This window comes from Homo sapiens, chromosome 5, assembly GCF_000001405.40.
Source record: "Homo sapiens chromosome 5, GRCh38.p14 Primary Assembly".
In the NCBI taxonomy this organism is placed as follows: Eukaryota; Metazoa; Chordata; class Mammalia; order Primates; family Hominidae; genus Homo; species Homo sapiens.
Genome location: NC_000005.10, coordinates 68,530,056 through 68,548,580, shown reverse-complemented (window position 1 = coordinate 68,548,580; position 18,525 = coordinate 68,530,056). Strand labels below are relative to the sequence as shown.

The window sequence follows — 18,525 nt, the reverse complement described above, 5'->3', positions numbered from 1 at the left end:
GGATGGCATTCAAGAGAACATTTATTGAACACTCATTGTTTGCCCGTCACTTTGCTAGGCTTCAGGGCTATAGCAGTGAATGAGACACAATCTGTGGCTTCATTGAAGGTCAGTTTGGTGGGAGACACAGATATCTACCCGGACAAAAATATAGAATATGATCAACACTATAATGGAAGTGTTATTTGATGTTATTAAATGTGTCTAATCCAGAATATTGCAAAGCCACTCCTGAGAAAATAAAACCTATCACTTAAAGAGCCTGTGAAGTTTCTCAAGACTTGTAAATAAGTCAGACATATACAACTCCTGGTGTAAGAGACAGGGACAGAAAATGCCACCAGGAATCAGTGAAATTTCTGAGGAAAACATTTAAGAAATGTAAAAGATAAAAAGCAAAAGACTTGTTATTTGATTACGTAAGGATTTAAAATTTTGGCAGGGAAAAATTCATAAGCAAAGCTGAAACTTGGAAACATGGAGAAAATAGGCCACATTAAGAGAAACATTCCTTCATATATAAAGAGCACTTACAAAAGAGAAAATTCAACAGCCTTATCAACTTACAGAAAGATGCTCAAACCACTGAAAATTAAGCAAGTGCAAATTGAAACAGAAGGAAGCAGGAGGCTGCCTTAGAGATCTGTCTGTTTCTGGCCTTGCTGGGAGGGGAAAGAGACACAGAGAAGAAACACTGAACAGCAAGCAGAGGCACAGTTTAGCTCTAGGTGACCTTAACTCATTGCTCACCAGGTTTATGGTCAAATTCTAATTTCACAGCTATTCTGGGAATGTAGTGCAAATTTGGAACAAGGAATGGAAACTCCCATCATGAGCTTAGGAATCTCAGTCTCCCTTTGCTTCTTGTCATCATCATAGGAATCACTGGTGGGGAAAGGGAGTATAGTTCTTCACTATGACAGGTAAAGAAGGGGGTTTCTGTATACAAGGCATTTCTAGAACACCTTGTGTTCAGATAGAACACTCTGCTGAAGGATCTTAAAAATCCTAAGCCTCCCAATCTGGAGACGATTACATCCCTAGAATATGTTACCCAGCCTGGCTGTCCAAGCCCTATGAGAAGATTGTTTCCAGAAAAAAAGATATTTTAATTTTGTTTTGATTTTAGCCTTTCAAGTGGCCACCTAGAGTTGTAATAACTTCCACTATTCCTGATATGTGTTGAATTGTGTCCCCAAAATTCATATGTTGAAGTCCTAAATCCTAGTACCTTGAACTCTGACTTTATTTGGAGATAGGGTCTTTGCAGAACTAATTAGGTTAAAATGAGATCATGAGAGGCGGCCTTAATTCAATGTGACTGGCTTATAAAAAGGGGGAAAATTTGATAACAAACAGGCATACAGGGAGAACCCCATGTGAACACGAAGCCAGACATTTACAAGCTAAGGAGACAGGCCTCGGAACAGATACTTTCCTCACAGCCTTCAGAAGGAACCAACCTGTGATGCCTTGATTTTGGCTTTTAACTTACAGAACTGTGGGACAATCAGTTTCTGTTGTTTAAGTCACCTAGTCTGCAGCAGTCCTAACAAATGAGTGAAGTCCCCATATTCAGTAATTTTCTTCCACATCCCTGTGTCTAGAGTAAAATTATATATAAACATATGTATATATAAATATATATACTTATATATAGCAAATATGTTTTTTATATATAATACATTCCTGGAATTTAGTTTGATATACCAAGAATAATAATGATAAAAATAATGATAAAATGTTTGCTTTGATTACTGTGGGGGGAAAATGAAATGTTCAATAGTATTAAAACAAACTTTTCAAAATATATATATTTAATATACAATATATGTTTAATATACAATATAAATGTTTAATATATATCTAAATATATATATATATATATATATATATATATATATACTTATATATAGAAAAATATATATATTTGCCATAGGGTCTCACTCTGTCACCCAGGCTGTAGTGCAGTTGTACGATTATAGCTCACTTCAGCTTCAAACTCCTGGGCTCAAGTGATCCTGCCACCTCAGCCTCCCAAGTAGCTGGGACTACTGGTGTACACTACCATGCCTGGTAAATTTTAAATTTTTTGTAGAGATAGGATCTTGCTATGTTGCCTAGGCTGGTCTCAAAGTCCTGGCCCCAAGCATTCCTCTGGCCTCGGCTTCCCAAAGTGTTGGGATTATAGGTGTGAGCCATCATGCCGGGCCAATTTTTAAGTTCTAACTCAAAAAATTGTATCCTATAAAAGTGTTTTCAGATATGGAAAATGATGGAGAGATGGTGAGGGTGTTTAACAAATATTTGCATTGTTCAATCACCCCTCTGGATGTCAGGCCCCATGGTGTGTGCTAGAGACACAATGGTGAATAAAGCAACGTTACTTCCTGGAGCCTATGGTCTGGCAGGAAAAATCAACCTCAACCCAATTGTAAGACAGTGTGATGAGAGCTTTATGTGACAGGGTGTATGTAGCCTTCTGTGCAAACAAAGGAGAGGGCCCTCAACTTGTTCTTGGGATCCGGAAACACTTCCCTGATTAGAAGTGACATCTAAGCTGAAACTTGAATAATGAATCAGAATTTGCTGGAGAAGGGGGTGGAAAATTAGTGAAAGAAAGTGAAGGCAATGTTTCCAAGCAGGTGCTTCACATATACAGAGGGAAGAAAATGTGTCTTCCATTTTGGAACTGAGGAAATAGCCCCAGGCTCATAAGGGAGCCAAGCAAAGCAAGTAGAACTGTTCCAATGGAAAAAATGCTCGGCTGTAAGCCCTGTACGGGCCACCTGGAGTGTTGAGGTGACCTTGACATTGTGGGTCACCTCAGGAGCTAAATGCAGGAGGAATAATATTGGCTGCCTTAAGCGGCGCCCCCAGGCTCGCTACCCAATCTTCCTGACCCAGCATTCTCATATCACACATTCACAGTCTGATTTGGGAGCTTCTAAAAATGTTTTGTGAGGGGACCAACCAACAAAGAAAATCCCACTGAGCTAATGGAAGAATTGTTGGGGCTTGTCCCCTGATGGGAAAGGCCACTCCCTCCTCTTCCAAACCCTTCCAAGAACCTGAAAACTGAAAGGGCCTTTTATGTTTCTGATAAATGGTTTGGCAAACATTTTTGGTTTTGGAATCATATCCTACCTGACTCGCCTTCCACTAATGCCTCTTCCTCCCCCTACACCCCCCCATCTAAATATGTTGTGTCTCCTGGCAACACAGCCTGAGCAATGAATGTGTCTCTGAAAGGTTAATGTTCTAGAGGTCGCTTCTGGGTCCTCGTCTGGGTTTTCCTTTTAACTAGTCCTGTGACTGGAAAAACATCACCTCTCATCCCTGAATCTCAGTTGCTGAGAGCGCAAACTAAGGGCAGGGGCGGGGGAGGCCTGGAGTAGGGTGGTGATCAGCTGCTAAGATCTCTCCCAGAATGAATGCTGGGATTCTCCTATTCTTTGTTTCCCAAGGCCGTTGAATTCATCCCCATGCAAGCTAACCATGGACTTGTCATTGTTAGAGGTCAGAGGAAGCAGCCTCTGGCGGTGTGGAGCCTTCATGTGACTGCTGTGTTGTCGTCAGTGTGTGTAGTGAAGATGGGAAAACATGAGCCAGCAGAAATGAACTGCCTCCCTCGGCTCTCTACCTGCCACCGTCATCCATGTCAGCCTTCCCCCTCCACCTTGCTCCCACCCGCTTCCACCCACAAATTCATCCAGAAACTTTTGCCTAGAGGAAAATTCAAGACTTATTTCTTTAATGGTCAGAATTGTGCTAGGTCAAGACTTTTAACTGTGTATTTAATTAGTCATCTGTATGCATGTAACTTAAAGGCGTTCAGCTGTGCCTTTTTATAGGATTAATAAAGCGGGTTGTAAATCACCTATGCAGCCTATAAAAGTATTTATAGCAGCTTTTCTCTCCCTTCGCCATTACAGAAGCTTTGTTTGAACTAGCTGAGGTTTGCATGGGGATAGTTCTACCCAGTTCTAGGAAGAAAGCGTTAAAAGTACCTTCCTGGCAAACCGCAACTCCATCATTAGGCAAGGCAAAATGTGCTGAAACGTTAAGCTGTAGCAAGGACATTCCAAGGCATGATTGCCAACAGCAAGCCTTCTGTGTTAATGAAAATCAAAATACAAAAAAGCTAGTCAACTGCAAGCACAAAACTTAAGCCGAACTCAAGAAATATGATCAGAGCTGGCGTTCCATGGCCGCTTGACTTCTATAAACCTTAACAGGTTTTGGCAAGCCCTTCTCCAAGCTCATGCATTTGCACTGGCAAAATACCTGTTGGAACCACCCCGGCCTCCATTCCATAGTATCACTGAGTCTGGAAAGGAACAAGCTGCCTTTTGTCTCACAGACATTCAGAGCTTTTGTGGGTAAAATGAACAGTTACCAGAACCCTTTCCTTTGTGTCAGCAGGAGGTTCATTTCTCACACCTTTTCTCCAGCCCTACCAGACAAAAGATCTCGGTTCTTAAGACAACTAGACCCATGTCATCTCCCCAATATCATTTTTCTGCAAGTCCTGCCTGACTTGAATTCTTCTAACTGAATGCAAAAGAAAGTAGCACTGATGGCTGGGCATGGTGGCTCACGCCTGTAATCCCAGCACTTTGGGAGGCTGAGGCGGAAAGATCACCTGAGGTCAGGAGTTCGAGACCAGCCTGACCAACATATGGAGAAACCCCGTCTCTACTAAAAATACCAAATTCACCTGGCATGGTGGCTCATGCCTGTAATTCCAGCTACTCTGGGGGCTGAGGCAGGAGAATCGCTTGAACCCAGGAGGCGGAGGTTGTGGTGAGCCGAGATTGTGCCATTGCACTCCAGCCTGGGCAACAAGAGTGAAACTCTGTCTCAAAAAAAAAAAAAAAAAGAAAAGAAAGTAGCATTGATGAGGATCCTGCCACAGGAGTTGACCGTAAGTTAAACACAGACATGCTTTATCATCCCATATTTCTGGGCTAACCCTGGACAGAAGCAGCCATAGGTTTGGTTTTGCAGACACAGGTTCTGAAAACTCACAGTTCACATTTCTTCTTTAGAAGAATTTTGACTGTCTAGTAATCAGCAACCACTCAGCCGAAAGAAAAAAATGAAAGAGGAAATGTTAAATCACACCACCCTCTGAAGCATAATCTGCACGAGGTTCAGACACTGAAGGCACAGGACAAGCTGTACTCTGCTCAGGATCAGGACTTCCATAAGTGGGTAGTGGTTTGCAGATTGCCCTGGCTATCAGAGGGTGAGGCACTTGGTTATTTTATTTCAGTGGCTCCTAAAGTTAATCAAACTTAGGGGCAGCTGGCTAGTGCTTTCCTATACAACTTGCATGTTGTATATTTATTCAAGCATAGAATGTAAAGCAACAGGTATGCTAATGAGGAGATAGCAGTGGGTCTTTCTCCCTGAAAATTGTCTCTACGAGTTGGGTGCTATGGGAATTTGGTTCATCAATTTTGTGAAATGTTTCCAACCTTGAAGATTGGCTTGAGGTTCTCCAAATCTCAGATGCTTTGTTTCTTCTTCTAGCTTTTTTGCTTTTCTTTCTTCCTCTCTCCCTTTCTCCCCCCACACCCACCTCTTTTTTTTTTTGTTTCTTTTCTTCTTTTTCTTCCATTTGGAAAAGATTTTCTTCTATTTGGGAAAATATGATGGCTAACTGTCCTAACATCTGACTTTAAAATATCTGATTCAGGACCAATTCTTTGTGAGATGGGATCAAGTTTTATTCGGATGGAATACCTTCTACAAAGAAAATGTGTAAAAGAAATCTAGCTTTCCTTTTGGGTATGGTTAGGTATAACTAATAGGCTATTTTATGCTTCCAGAAAAGACATTCTCTATTATATTGTTTACAGTTAGAGAACTATTCTCCTCTTTTTCTCTTAGGGGAATAGGTTGATGAAGAATTAAATACATTTTAAATTGAAATTGAGATCTATCATTGAGTTTCTTTTGATAGCTACTAACTTTTAACAAATTTATTGAGGTGTAATTTACATACAATGAAATTCACCTACTTTAAGTGTACAATTCAATGATTTTTTTTGTAGATTGACTGAGTGGTGCAACATCACAATAACCCAGTTTTAAAATATTTCATCACCCCAATAAGATCCCTTCTATTCATTTAGTTAATCCCTGTTCCTATCCCTAGCCCCAGGCAATGACTAATCCACTTTCTGTTTCTGTAGGTTTGCCTTTTCTGGACGTTTCATATAAATGGAATAATTCAGTGTGTAGTCTTTTGTGTCTTGCTTCTTTCACTTAAAATAATGTTTTTGAGGTTCATTAATGTTGTAGCATGTATCAAGAATTCATTCTTTTTTATTGCTGAGAGTATTCTACTGTATGTATATACCACATTTTATTTATTCACCAGTTTATGGACACTTGGATTATGTTCACTTTTAGGTTATTATGAATCATGCTGCTATGAACATTTGTGTGCAAATCTTTGTGTGGACATATGTTGTCATTTCTCTTGGTTAGATACATAGGACTGAAATTGCTTGGTCATATGGTAAATTTATGTTTAATATTTAAGAAACTATCAAACTTTTTTCCAAAGCATCTATACTATTTTACATTCCCACCAGCACTGAAAATGTTCCTAACTCTCCATGTCCTGGAATGTTGACTATTATGTCTTTTTTATTATGGCGATTCTAGTATGTATGATATAAATCTCCTTATGCTTTTGATTTGCATTTCCCTAATAACTAATAATGTGGACCATCTTTTTTCTGCAGTTATTAGCTAGTCATTGATTTTTTTTAATGTTTATTCCTATCTTTAATCCTTTTTTAATCGTGTTGTCATCTTATTGAATTGTAAGATATTTTTGTATATTCAGGATACAGGTCCTTTATCAGGTATAGAATTTGCAAATATTTTCTCCCAGCCTGTGGTGTGTCTTTTTATTTTCTTAATGATGTGTTTTGAAGCACAAAAGTGTTGAATTTGATGAAGTCCAAAATAAAAGTTCTTTTCTATTATGAGTCATACTTTTGGTATTGTATCTAGGAAATCTTTGCTTAACCTAAGGTTTTGAAGATTTTCTCCTAAAAGTTTTATATTTTAGCTTTTACATTTAGGTCTCTCATCCATTTTAAGGCAATTTTTGTGTATGATGTGAGGTCTGAGTTCACCTTTTTGCGTGTGGAGATGCAATTTTCTCAGTATTATTTGTTAAAAATACCGATGTTTCTGCTGTTAGATTTCCTTGACATCATTGCCAAAAATCAGCTGACCATAAATATAACAGTTTATTTATCTTAATTCGATTCTATCTTTATGTCTATCCTTATGCCTATGGTTACTGCCGATTTTGATTATTGTGATATTCTGGTTATCTAAAGAGAATCAGTGCAAATGGGCTCAAGACATTGAACTGTATTTTTTTTAAAAACAATTCCTCCCCACAAAAGGAAATAGAAAAAATGCGGTAATCTAAGAAATTATTTGCATGAAAGGAGAACCCTGTTTGTGGGGCTACGATGGCTGTCATGCAGAGAAGCCCTGCTGTATCAAGTGAAAGCCCAAAGAAAATGGGAGACTTGTATTAAACAAGGGAGCGCTCGGGGGAGGGGAAGAGAGCGTGGGAGAACTGAGCCAGGTGGTCAGTTAGGGAAAACATCTATCTTCCTTACCTGCCCAAACTCATCAAAGAATGTCAACTTGGAACTCATTTAGTAAGAACCTCTAATTTTTTAAATGAAAAAGTCTCTAAAAGATTGTGATTTATAAAGAAAAAACCTCTCCTTGTTTTTCTAGGGGTAAAAAAGGCAAAAACAAAGCTACTTTGATACAGGAGACTGGCTTCTAGCTCTCCTGTCTTCTCACTCTTTCCATTCTTTCTCTAATTTATAATATGTCAGGGATCTGTCATTTTGCTCTAGATACAGACAGAACCAGCCTCTATGATTCTTTCTAAAATGGATATAGTATCAACAACACAATTGCTGTTTAAAATGACAACAATGTAGCAAGCCTAATTTCCGACATGATTTAGCACAACATGCAAAGGAGAAGGAAGACATCTGGACATTACTGAAGTCCCTTGAGATGTTTCCTGAAGGGTCCCCTTTACCAAATTATGTGTTGTAGAACATGAGTATTGAGATTGCTTCCTCAAAGGGAGTACTGTATTTTTAACTTCTCAGAGACAAATAAGAGGAGAAGCTCATGGAAGAAATATAAGCTGACTATATCGTATAAAAGCACTTTTTCTGGAGTCCTGCTGAGAAGATGTGGCCATAACTCCTAATGTACTTTGCCTGGAGTAGCCTGGGATCCCTGGGACTTCTTGAAGGATAAAAATGAGCTATAATTACTTTGGGAGCCTTCCTTATTTGTGGGTAAAATGAATTCCACATTGCCAAACACTATAATCCAAGTCCCTTTCTCATTCTACTAGGTTAAGTAAAATAATATGACCTCTAGATTCAGAAACATATTACAATGAGCATGTGACAACACATTGGTACCGGGTGATGTCCAAAAATTTTGGCTTCTCTATCATACCAGCCACTCCCTGAAGAAGGGCACTTTCAGTAGAACTAGGACATGGGACAGGTAAGTTCTGATGAATGGCAAAGGAGACACGAACAGGGTGGAATGCACAGCACTTATGCAAAAGCTTCAGATCTCAACATGTGAAAATGAATTGACCTTTCAGAATGGTAACCCATGTGGATTTTATATTAAATTTCCTTCCACATAACCAAGTTATACCAACTATCACCCTGAGTACAGAACAGGAATTTGGTGGATCTCAGCTGAGTACTACTGTCCTGAATCTGACTCACATGCCAATCAAACAAGAAGCCCCTTCCACCCCTTATACCATACCACCAAGACAGGTGCTGGAAGACAGGTAGAAACCCCAAGCCCAGGACTGGCACAGGACGAAAGATGGGGGAAACTGTGTCTCCGCACCCATTCACCTGCTTTAGACACCCCCTCTTTTTGTTTTCCTCTCTTCCTTGCTGCCCCTAGAGCCCTGCAGTGGCTGCTTTTTCACTCAGTGTCTCCTCCTAGATCTGTACACTCAGAAAACACCTTCCTCATTGCCTACCTCTTCCTCAAAACAAACCCATCCACCTGTTCTAATGGGCTCTCCAAGGAGAAGGCAGCAATCCACTCACACAGGCTGCTAAAGACTGACTGTGTTAAGGATTCTAATGGGCAAGTCTCTAAAACACTACAGAGGTGATATTAGTTGACAGAAGCTTGTTGGAAAAGGATTTAGAGGCTAACAAGGGCTTTCAAAATCACACAGCTTTGTGGCCCGAAACCCCCTCCACCTACACTCCATAGCCTCTCCCTCTCTCCTTGCAGAAGCCCAGAGAAGCCAGGCTGGCCCAGGCCACATGCATGAGGGAACAATCCTGATGCCTCTTTAGCCTTGTTCTGCATGATTAATTGAGGTTATTGCATTGAGACTCTTGTCTGATTGTGAAAAAAATTATCCCAAGGTGGCCTCAGATTCTTTGGTTAGTCATTGCCATGCCTTAGGGCTCTTGTGAGCCCTGGACACACAGCGACAACAACCAGCCACCGGCTGCCTTCTGCTCTGTGGCTCAGATACTTTGTTCGGACCATGCTGTGCTCCCAGCTTGGCTTCTGTTCCATGGAAACTGTGAAGTGCTTATTGTCCTGGGGCTGGTTGGGACTCAGGAAAGCTGTACGGGATGAGAGCTGTGCAGGACGAGAGCTGTGCTGGAGGGTAGGCTGCTTGCAGGATTTAGGGAGGAGGAGTGGAGCTGCTGTCAGACCCCAAGTTCTGGTGGGGCTTCCCAGACCTTTCCTTACTCCAGGGATCCAAGAAAGGGCTTAAGGGAAGAGTTGGTTGTGGAAAAAATATACAGAGGAGCCCTGTGGTGACACAAGGCATGGTGGGGTGGATGGGCAGGGATGGGGTAAGGCCAAGGAAGCCTGAGTAGACCTGGCTTTGGCTTGTGAGCCAAGCTCATTAGCAGCAATTTCTGGAAACTAACAAGAAAAAAGTATTTAGCAACTGTCATGAAAAGACTCAAATAACTTTTGAAAATAGAGTATTTTCCCCCTGATTATAAAACTTCCATGTTTACTGTAGCAAACATAGAAAACACAAAAATCACCAATGAAAAGACAAAAATTACCCAAACAGGGGTAACTGCTGTTAATCTGTTAACATTTGGTATGCATTTTCTGAGCTCTTTTTTTCCTTATACATATAGAAATCATATATGTGTATATACACACTTTTTTAACTAAAGGAGGAATCATATTTTATTACATCCTGCCTTTTCCACTCAGCATTATATATTTTTCTATAACATGATTTTAATTGCTGAACATTATTCCGTCTTTTTCCTGTACCACAATTTACTCAATCAAACCCCTATTGTTGGACATTTATGTTGTCTCTAATTTTTCCTAATTATACATTTTGCACATAAGTCTTTGCTCACCTTCATAATTATAATCCTTAAAATACATTTCTAGAGAGGAATATGCACATTAAATTTTTATACATACTGTCATATTTTCTTCCAAGAAGACTGTTCTAATTTATATTTCCACCAGCAGTATATGAAATGTATCTTTGTCCTTGAAGCCTAACACTGGGTAGACTATATCTTTGTGAATCTTTGTCAAGGTAAGAAACACAAAGTTCTATCTCTTTATTTTAATTTCAATCTTTTTCCTTATTAATGTGATTTGGTATATTGCCAATAAGTGGGGTCTTTCTAATTTTAATTGCTCTAGAAGATCTATTTATATATTGGAATCTCTTCTTTTTGTTTTATATAATGCAAATATATTTCTAATTTGTCTTTTCCTTTTAATTTTGTTTTATAATTATTTGAAGTCATATAGTCAAATGTATTGATCTTTTTACTTTAGAGTGTCGATGCTTGATGCTATTTAGGAAGATTGCTTCCATCATGGGATATAATGGTCATTTTTTGCCTAAAATTTAGAAGTAATATTTTAATTTTACTAGAAACTCTTTAATCCATTTATACTTTGGGGACACATGGTCTAAAGTAGGAAATTTAACTTCCTTCATCTTCCCGCAGAGGTTAATCTATTTTCCAGTATCATTTATTGAATAATAGAGTCATCCTTCATCAATATAAAATGCTACCTTGTTGATATATTAAGTACTTATGCATGAACACTATTTCTGGATGCTTTATATAATTTCATTGATCTATCTGTAGAATTCTGAAGCAATACTACACGACTTTAATGATCATAAATTTATTCTACCCTTATATTTATGTATCCTTTTTTCTTCTCAATGTCAGTTTGTTAGTGTTTGCTTCTTTTTTACTGAATCCTTTTTCTCTTTATTTTGGTATTTTGGCTTTGTTTATAATGTGTTCAGAGAATTCTTAGTATACGTTCCCTTCCCCCTTTATTTAAAAATACATTTAATATTATAAATTTGCTTCTGATTACAACATTGCTTCCATACTATAGATTTTAAAATATAATATCCTAATTATTATTGTTTCCTAAGTATTCTTTAATTATAGTTTTGACTTTTTCTTTGTCCCAAGAGGTATCTTTAAAAGCACCTTTGGATAATCAAGTAGTAGTTTGAAATTTTCATACTTTTATTTCAAATAAAATATAAGATATCTTGCTTGGAAAACTTACTGCTGTTTTCTCTGTGATGTAAAGCATGTCAATGATCTGTCAATGGGGTCCAGAAGTCAAATGATATAAAATGAGCCATATCAATTATATTTATCAAATTCTCTTTCTCCTTATTTGCTTTTTTGCCCCTGATCTGTCAAAAATTTATTAGAGTTTTTCCCAACTATTGTTCTGTACATCATTTCGTATGTTCTAGGCTTTTGCTTTATGTATTTTGATGCTGTGTTATTCTGTAACTCACATGTTACTGTATCTAAGAAAAATATCACCAGTAATGGGACAAATTATGTACCACCTGATAAGATGCAATCAGAGCATCAATTCTGTGTTGTTTCTGCCAAAATATATAATCTCATATAATCATGAGGAAATTCCAGATGAACCTTAAGTTGAAGGATATTCTGCAAAATAACTGGCTTGTAATCTTAAGATCCCAACCCTTAAAGTCACTAAGGTCAAGGAAAGACTGACAAATTGTGCCAGATTGATAGGGATTAAAAGACATGACAATTCATCTAACACACCATCCTGAATTGGATCCTTTTACAATTAAGAACACTACTGGGACAATTGGTGAAACTTGAATGGGGTCTGTGGATTAGATGGTAGTAATGTATCAACGTGCATGTCTCAGTGTTCATGTTGGTACTGTGGTTATGTAGGGAATATATCCTTTTTTTGAAGAAATTACAAACTAAAGTATCTGGGGATGGTGGTACATCACGTCAGCAACTTACTTCCAAAAGGCTTAGGGAAAAAAGAGTTCTTGGTACTTTTGAAGCTTTCCTATATGTTTGAAATTATTTTAAAAATATTAAATTAATATGAATATATTCTGAGTCATCTGGACCTCCTCTTTACCCCAAATCTTGCCATATAATTGGTCTTTACTGCCATTGGTGCCAATTAGCATCACTATAAGTGGTGGTGTTTGGCTTTTGAATGTGTTAGTTAACATATTTGAGTGCTCTGTGTCCAGAGGGGCTCAGCTAGCAACCTGAGCAGTGAAGTAGTGCAAAATTGGGAGAAGTGGGGAGAGGGAGCAGCAAGGGCTTGTAACAGAACTTCCTGGAGACACGCAGAGCAAGGAAGTATTGATAGTCCCCAGGTTGCAGTTGGAGGCTGAAATCTGGTTCACAATGGAATAGAATGAATTCTGCTGAAAGCAGTGACCACTTTGCCTCATTTTTTTTTTTCAGGGGTGAGACAAAATGTGCCATGAGTGATGGCCTTTGGTGATCTACAGACATCCCTGGCTCTAGCAATCATTTGTGTAGGGAGGTAAGCAGACAAGTCATTGCCAGGAGACTTAGATTCTTGTCTTGTCCCTTCCGCAAACTAGCTGTGTGACACTGAGAAAGTCTCTTAAGCTCATAATAACTGGATTTCCTGTTCCATAAATGAAGAGGCTGGCATCTCAGGTTCCTTCTAAGTTTCAAATTATAATTTTGACACCACTGAGTATGGATGTTTTAAGAACCTGAAGGAAAGAGAGATCCATTTGATCTGGAGCTGGTAGAAAAGCCATCAAGGAGTAGCTGGGAGAGGAAACAGGCGCCTCGGGGGAAGACTTCAAGAAAAGGCAGAGGGTTGGAGTGAGAGGTAGAGACAGTAGAGAAAAAAAGCCTGGGGCTGGGGAAGGCGTGGTGGGGTAGGGGGTGGTTCCACATCTTTCACCCACAGGAACTCCAGCCCATGAAGATCCTGGCACAAGTTTCTGCTTTTAAGGTTGTTCTGTGGATGAAACTCCCGAAAGCTGTCGGTACCATTAGGAAATGATTAGCTATTAAATGCCAAATCTGCTGCCTTACAGTATAGTTACTCGTTAGTGTTTTAAGGGGATGTTATGCTTGTTGTTTTCTTAAACTAGTAGGCAGACAAGAGGAGAGCAAAGGGAAAGGGAAAGAAAGAAGAACTCTAAAAATTAATTCGGCATTGCCATATGAAACGTCATGGGCCATGGTTGGGCCTTGGGAGTGCTTTATTATTTTCTCCCTGTCTCTAAGAAAAGGTCTGGGTATGGTCCGTGTGGAAGAACAGAAAGCAAAAGAAACAGGGACTCTAAATGGTGGAATGACCCAGGGGAGCTCAGTGGCCCACATACCTCTCATTCCAGTGACCCCAATACCACGGACCCACAGCCATGTGCACCCCCTCCCTGGGCTCTGCATGCTGTGGGGGTGCCCTGGCTTTATCTCTTGGTGACAAAGTGGTGCGATACCTCCTGGCTCAGCCTGGAGAAGCTGGGCAGAGAGGAATCTGTCCCATGGGGCATATATCAGGCTTGGCTGGCCCTGTGGTTAGGAAATTCTCTGCATTTATCTAAAGCAAATAAAAATGTGGGCAGCCTGTCTATTTGTGAAAGGCAGACAAACGCAGCCCAGAGGAGAGAAGAGCCTGTACCCGATGGCTAAATGGAGCGTGGAGCCCTGGCAAGGAGGAGAGAGAAACGCAGCCTGGGCTGGAGGCCATGGGTGGCCCGCCTGGTGGGAACAACATTATTCCGCCCCCTCTCCTGCTTTCTGTGGCTGGGAACACAAAGAGAAAGAGGGTGGGGTGGGGGGGCTTGGCCTCTCTCCCTGCAGAGGTCGGTCCACTGGCCTCTAATGATTATTGTGTTTAATGAATTGCAGCTTGTAAAAGGCTTTGAAGCTAGAAGGCAAAGCCTGAACACTGAGGATTCTTTTTCTTAAATCATTTTATTCTATGACTCGAAAAACAAAATCCCGCTTGAGCAGAGAGCAACAGTCAAGGCTGCCAAACTCCACTTGTGGTAACTTTTTTTTTTTTTTAAACAGCAGTTAAAAAAATATGTGGACTGCAAAATGTGTACAAGCCAAAGCACAAAAAGACAATGGACATGACATTTAGGCAGGAGGTGGGGGAAATGCAAAAGGGACTTCCTCTGGAGCAGTAACAATTAGCCCCATTAGCTTGTGCATAACCCATAAATGTAAGGTACAGGGAAATGGTGGGAGCGAATCATTGTGGTGCCCCTGGGAACATCTCTCTAGGCTGGAACCATCTCACTAACCGGATGTAAAAAGATCATATGGTGTGTGTCTTTCAGTGGCAATTAACCTCAATTATTATCCTATAGTCCATAAAAACAGCTGCATGGAACAGGGTCTGTGAGGGATCCGTATCTAGGTCTGGAATCTCCTCACAGTTCTCCAAGAGAGTGACTATGTTTGGGGCATTTTCAGACATGCTATAAATCCTAACTGGCATTGTTTGCTCCCAGCGATAAAAGAAAGGGTAGCAGGTGTGCCTCCCAACCAACCCTTTATTGCCTGGGCATGTGACAGCATTTTGCGGCACCTCAGTAATGAGCCAGAGAAGAAGGAAAGGCAGATGAATTTGCCAGCATTATTGCAGGTATCTTGAAGGAGAGTTGAGCCCAGCTTTTCAATTCATACAGATCCTTTCTCTGAAGAACCCCTTCCTGATATTGTCACTTTAACACATCTCTGTGGTTTTATTTTGAAATTTTTAAAGGTATGTTGTATTTGTATTTTCCTTTATTAGCATAAAATCAGCATTTCTGCAGATATCAGAATAGTTGCATGCTTGTTCCTTGGAAACATTTAAAACATTTTTGTTCCTCCCCCAGTGTTTTGCTGTTCTCTTCCCTCTTCTCTTCCCCCTCCCCTCCTCACTCTCTTTTCACCTCCTCCTCCTCTTCCCCCTTCCCTACTTCCTCTTTCCCCGACTCCTTCTCCCTCCCTCCCCGCTTTCTCTCTGCTTTTGGCAATTTATTTTTCTAATTCTTTTACACATTTCTAAGGTTTTTACCATTTATATAATCTCATGCTTATTTGCACTTCCTTTTCCCATTCATTTTTAACAAGACTAAAGAAATACTGCATTTGAGTTATATTTGTCCACATCCCTATACTCTATCATCTTGATCAGGTGTCCCTGAGTATCTCTGTTATAGTGTGTTCATGGACAGGTGTTTGTTGCCCATTCTCCTTTCCTACCCTGCTTTAGGTTGTGCTCTGATCTACCCTAAAACCTTTTATGCGTTTCTCATTCTTTCTCAAATCTGTCTTCATTTAAACATTTTTCCTTGTGGCTAATGGGTTTTTTATGTTTTATTTTTTATGTTTTTTATTTTTTTATGTTTTATGTTTTATTTTTTAATGGGTTTAAAGGCCCTGGTTCTATAATCCATGTAAATGCCTTTGTTATTTTTCCATCATACACCCTTTCTTGATTTTCCTTTCTAAGTTGCTTATCTTTCTCCTCCACTTTGCCATCTTTATTTACCATGTGCCTTTCCAAAAAGGCCATATACCATAAAAGAAACAAAATTCTGGGTTCCAGCCTTGACTCAATTAGATCTGAAGCAAATTACATAACCTCTTAGCCCCAGCCTCCTCAACTATGAAATGGAAATTGAAATTGCAAAGCCAAGTTCACGGAGATATGATGATGATTAGATTGAATAGCATAGCTGAAGCCCCTAACTCAGTGCCTGGTATATTATAGGAATATTCAACCACAAAGGTTAGGCTCCCTTTACTGTTTTAGGCCAATCCTGTTCGTTTTATAATTTCTTAATAAGAAATAACTTTCTATGAGTCTTTCAATATAGACAGGTAGAACCTGAAGCCTCATTTCCCATTTTTGTTATGTTCTGACTTTTCAGTATTGAAACAAAAAAATTCTTGGTCTACCAGTAAAGTAGGCTTTGGTCACTTCAAACTTCCTCTTTGAGGAGCACAGCTCCTCACAATAGCTCCATGAGGGCGTTGGAGGCATGAGAACCCTTGTGTTATAGAGGCTCAGGCAAACCACAGAAGTCTGCTCCAGCACTGGGTGTAGTTGTACCCCATTCTGAAAGTCCTCGCAGTCCCAAGTGAATGCGAAAGAAGAGAGGAGTGGCTGTTTAAGGTCCAAGACATGGCTATTATTAAGGGAAGAAGAGTGGGGAAGAGGAGTCATGTTAGCTCCTTGCCCAGTGTAATCAAAGTGCCGGTTGTGTCTATTTCAGGTACAGTCATGTGCCGCATAATGACATTCAGTCAATGACAGACTGCATATATGAGGTGGTCCTGTAAGGTGATAATGGAGCTGAAAAATTCCTACTACTGAACGACATCATAGCCATTGTAACATCATAGCACAACCAATCACCTTTTCTATATTTAGGTATGTTTATTTAGAACTGTATTAGTCCATTTTCGTGATGCTGATAAAGATAAAACCAAGACTGGGAAGAAAAAGAGGTTTTAATTGGATTTATCATTCCACATCTCTGGGGAGGCCTCAGAATCATGGCGGGAGGCAAAAGCCATTTCTTACATGGCAGCAGCAAGAGAAAAATGAGAAGGGTGCAAAGGCGGAAACCCCTGATAAACCCATCAAATCTCTTGAGACTTATTCACTATCACGAGAACAGTATGGGGAAAACTGCCCCTATGATTCAAATTACCTCCCATGTGTCCCTCCCACAACATGTGGGAATTATGGAAGTCCAATTCAAGATGAGATTAGGGTGGGGACACAGAGCCAAACCATGTCAGACCCACAAATACTTACCATTGTGTTACAATTGCCTATAGTATTCTGTACAGTAACATGTTATACAGGTATGTAGCCCAGTAGCAACAGGCTATACCATATAGCCTGGGTGTGTAGTAGGTTAGGTTTATGTAGATTCACTCTGTGATGTTCACATGATGACAAAATCACCCAATGAGGCATTTCTCCGAATGTATCCCTATCATTAAGTGACACATGACTATATTTCATTTCATTGCACTGCATCAGCTTTACTATTGAATCAACCAATGGTTAGCTAATCCATAAGAAAATTGTGAGCAATAACATAAGACAGGGAGAGACAGAGAAAGACAGAGAGAGACACACCCTCACAGAGAAAGAAAAACTCAAACTCAGGTAGTGAGGTCGTAGCTGTTTTGGTGGCTAAGTTCACTGTAGGGTTGAAACGGTGGGGCCAGCGTTTCTCAAGAGACACAGAAATGCAAAGTATTCTAAATTCTGAGAACCTGCCCTAGGACTGTGATGGTGGAGAGAACCACCACAGTAAGATCAAGTCCTGCCCACATGAAGGAGGCATTCACTTTAAAGTAGAGAGCCTCAATTAAGGATGTGTGTCCTGGATGTCCTGAGCCACCGTAAAGAAGTTTTATCTAAACTGGGACATTGTTACACGAGAAATACAGACCTCTAACTCTCCATTTTTTCTGTTTTCCTACCTGGCCTTGGGCACATCAGTCAGTGTTCTCAGATTCTCTTTTAGGAAGTAGGGAAGGGAGGAGTCAGAATAGTGTTCTGTATTTGAAGTTCTTCCCTGAATAAGTAGCCTTTTAAGAGTGTGATTGTGGGTGATCATACTGAGGCATGAGAGCAATGGTTCTCAGAGTTTGAGCCCCTGATCTACAGAATCAGAAATTCTGGGGTGGGACCCAGCAATCCTTGTTTTGACAAGCCCCCTAGGTGATTCTGATGCAGGCTTCAGTTTGAGAGCCACTGAATTTGAGCACAAGGTTTAAGAAAACAGACTATGTTACCTGATTTCTAATGTCAGCTCTGCAATTTACTAATTGTGTGACATCACAGGGCTGTTACAAGTATTAAATGAGAAAATGCCTGTAAACAGGATTTTAACAACATCAGAATTACAGCTGGCACTCAATAGATGGTACTTATAAACTTGGGGGAGGGAATGAGCTGTGAGTCTGCTTGGTGAGAGACTTGCTAAGGGAATTTCTTATTTTTGCATTTCAAACTTCTGTCCACCTTGTTGAACGTCCTGGGTTCTGAATGACATTGTCTTCCTTGTATCTCACTACTATCGACAAAGTGTGGAAAATGTCGTTTTGTGGGGAC

The 18,525-nt window shown here is 39.9% G+C and overlaps 2 long non-coding RNA genes across 10 annotated transcripts in view; both read left to right on the top strand.

The window, feature by feature from the left end:
- LOC105379013 (uncharacterized) overlaps positions 1 to 18,525 on the top strand; it is a 406,546-nt gene that overhangs the window by 284,277 nt on the left and 103,744 nt on the right. The gene's annotated exons all lie outside the window — the stretch shown is intronic.
- Positions 1 to 18,525, top strand: part of LOC105379011 (uncharacterized) — a 58,354-nt gene that overhangs the window by 17,996 nt on the left and 21,833 nt on the right. For 6 of the 7 annotated variants that reach the window (XR_001742694.1, XR_001742693.1, XR_001742700.1 and 3 more), the window contains exon 2: positions 16,664 to 16,821. This is a non-coding gene — a long non-coding RNA (uncharacterized LOC105379011). Of the gene's footprint in view, positions 1 to 6,336; positions 12,946 to 14,297; positions 15,163 to 16,663; positions 16,822 to 18,525 lie in introns of those variants that run through there. The other variant, XR_002956214.1, reaches the window with a different exon arrangement.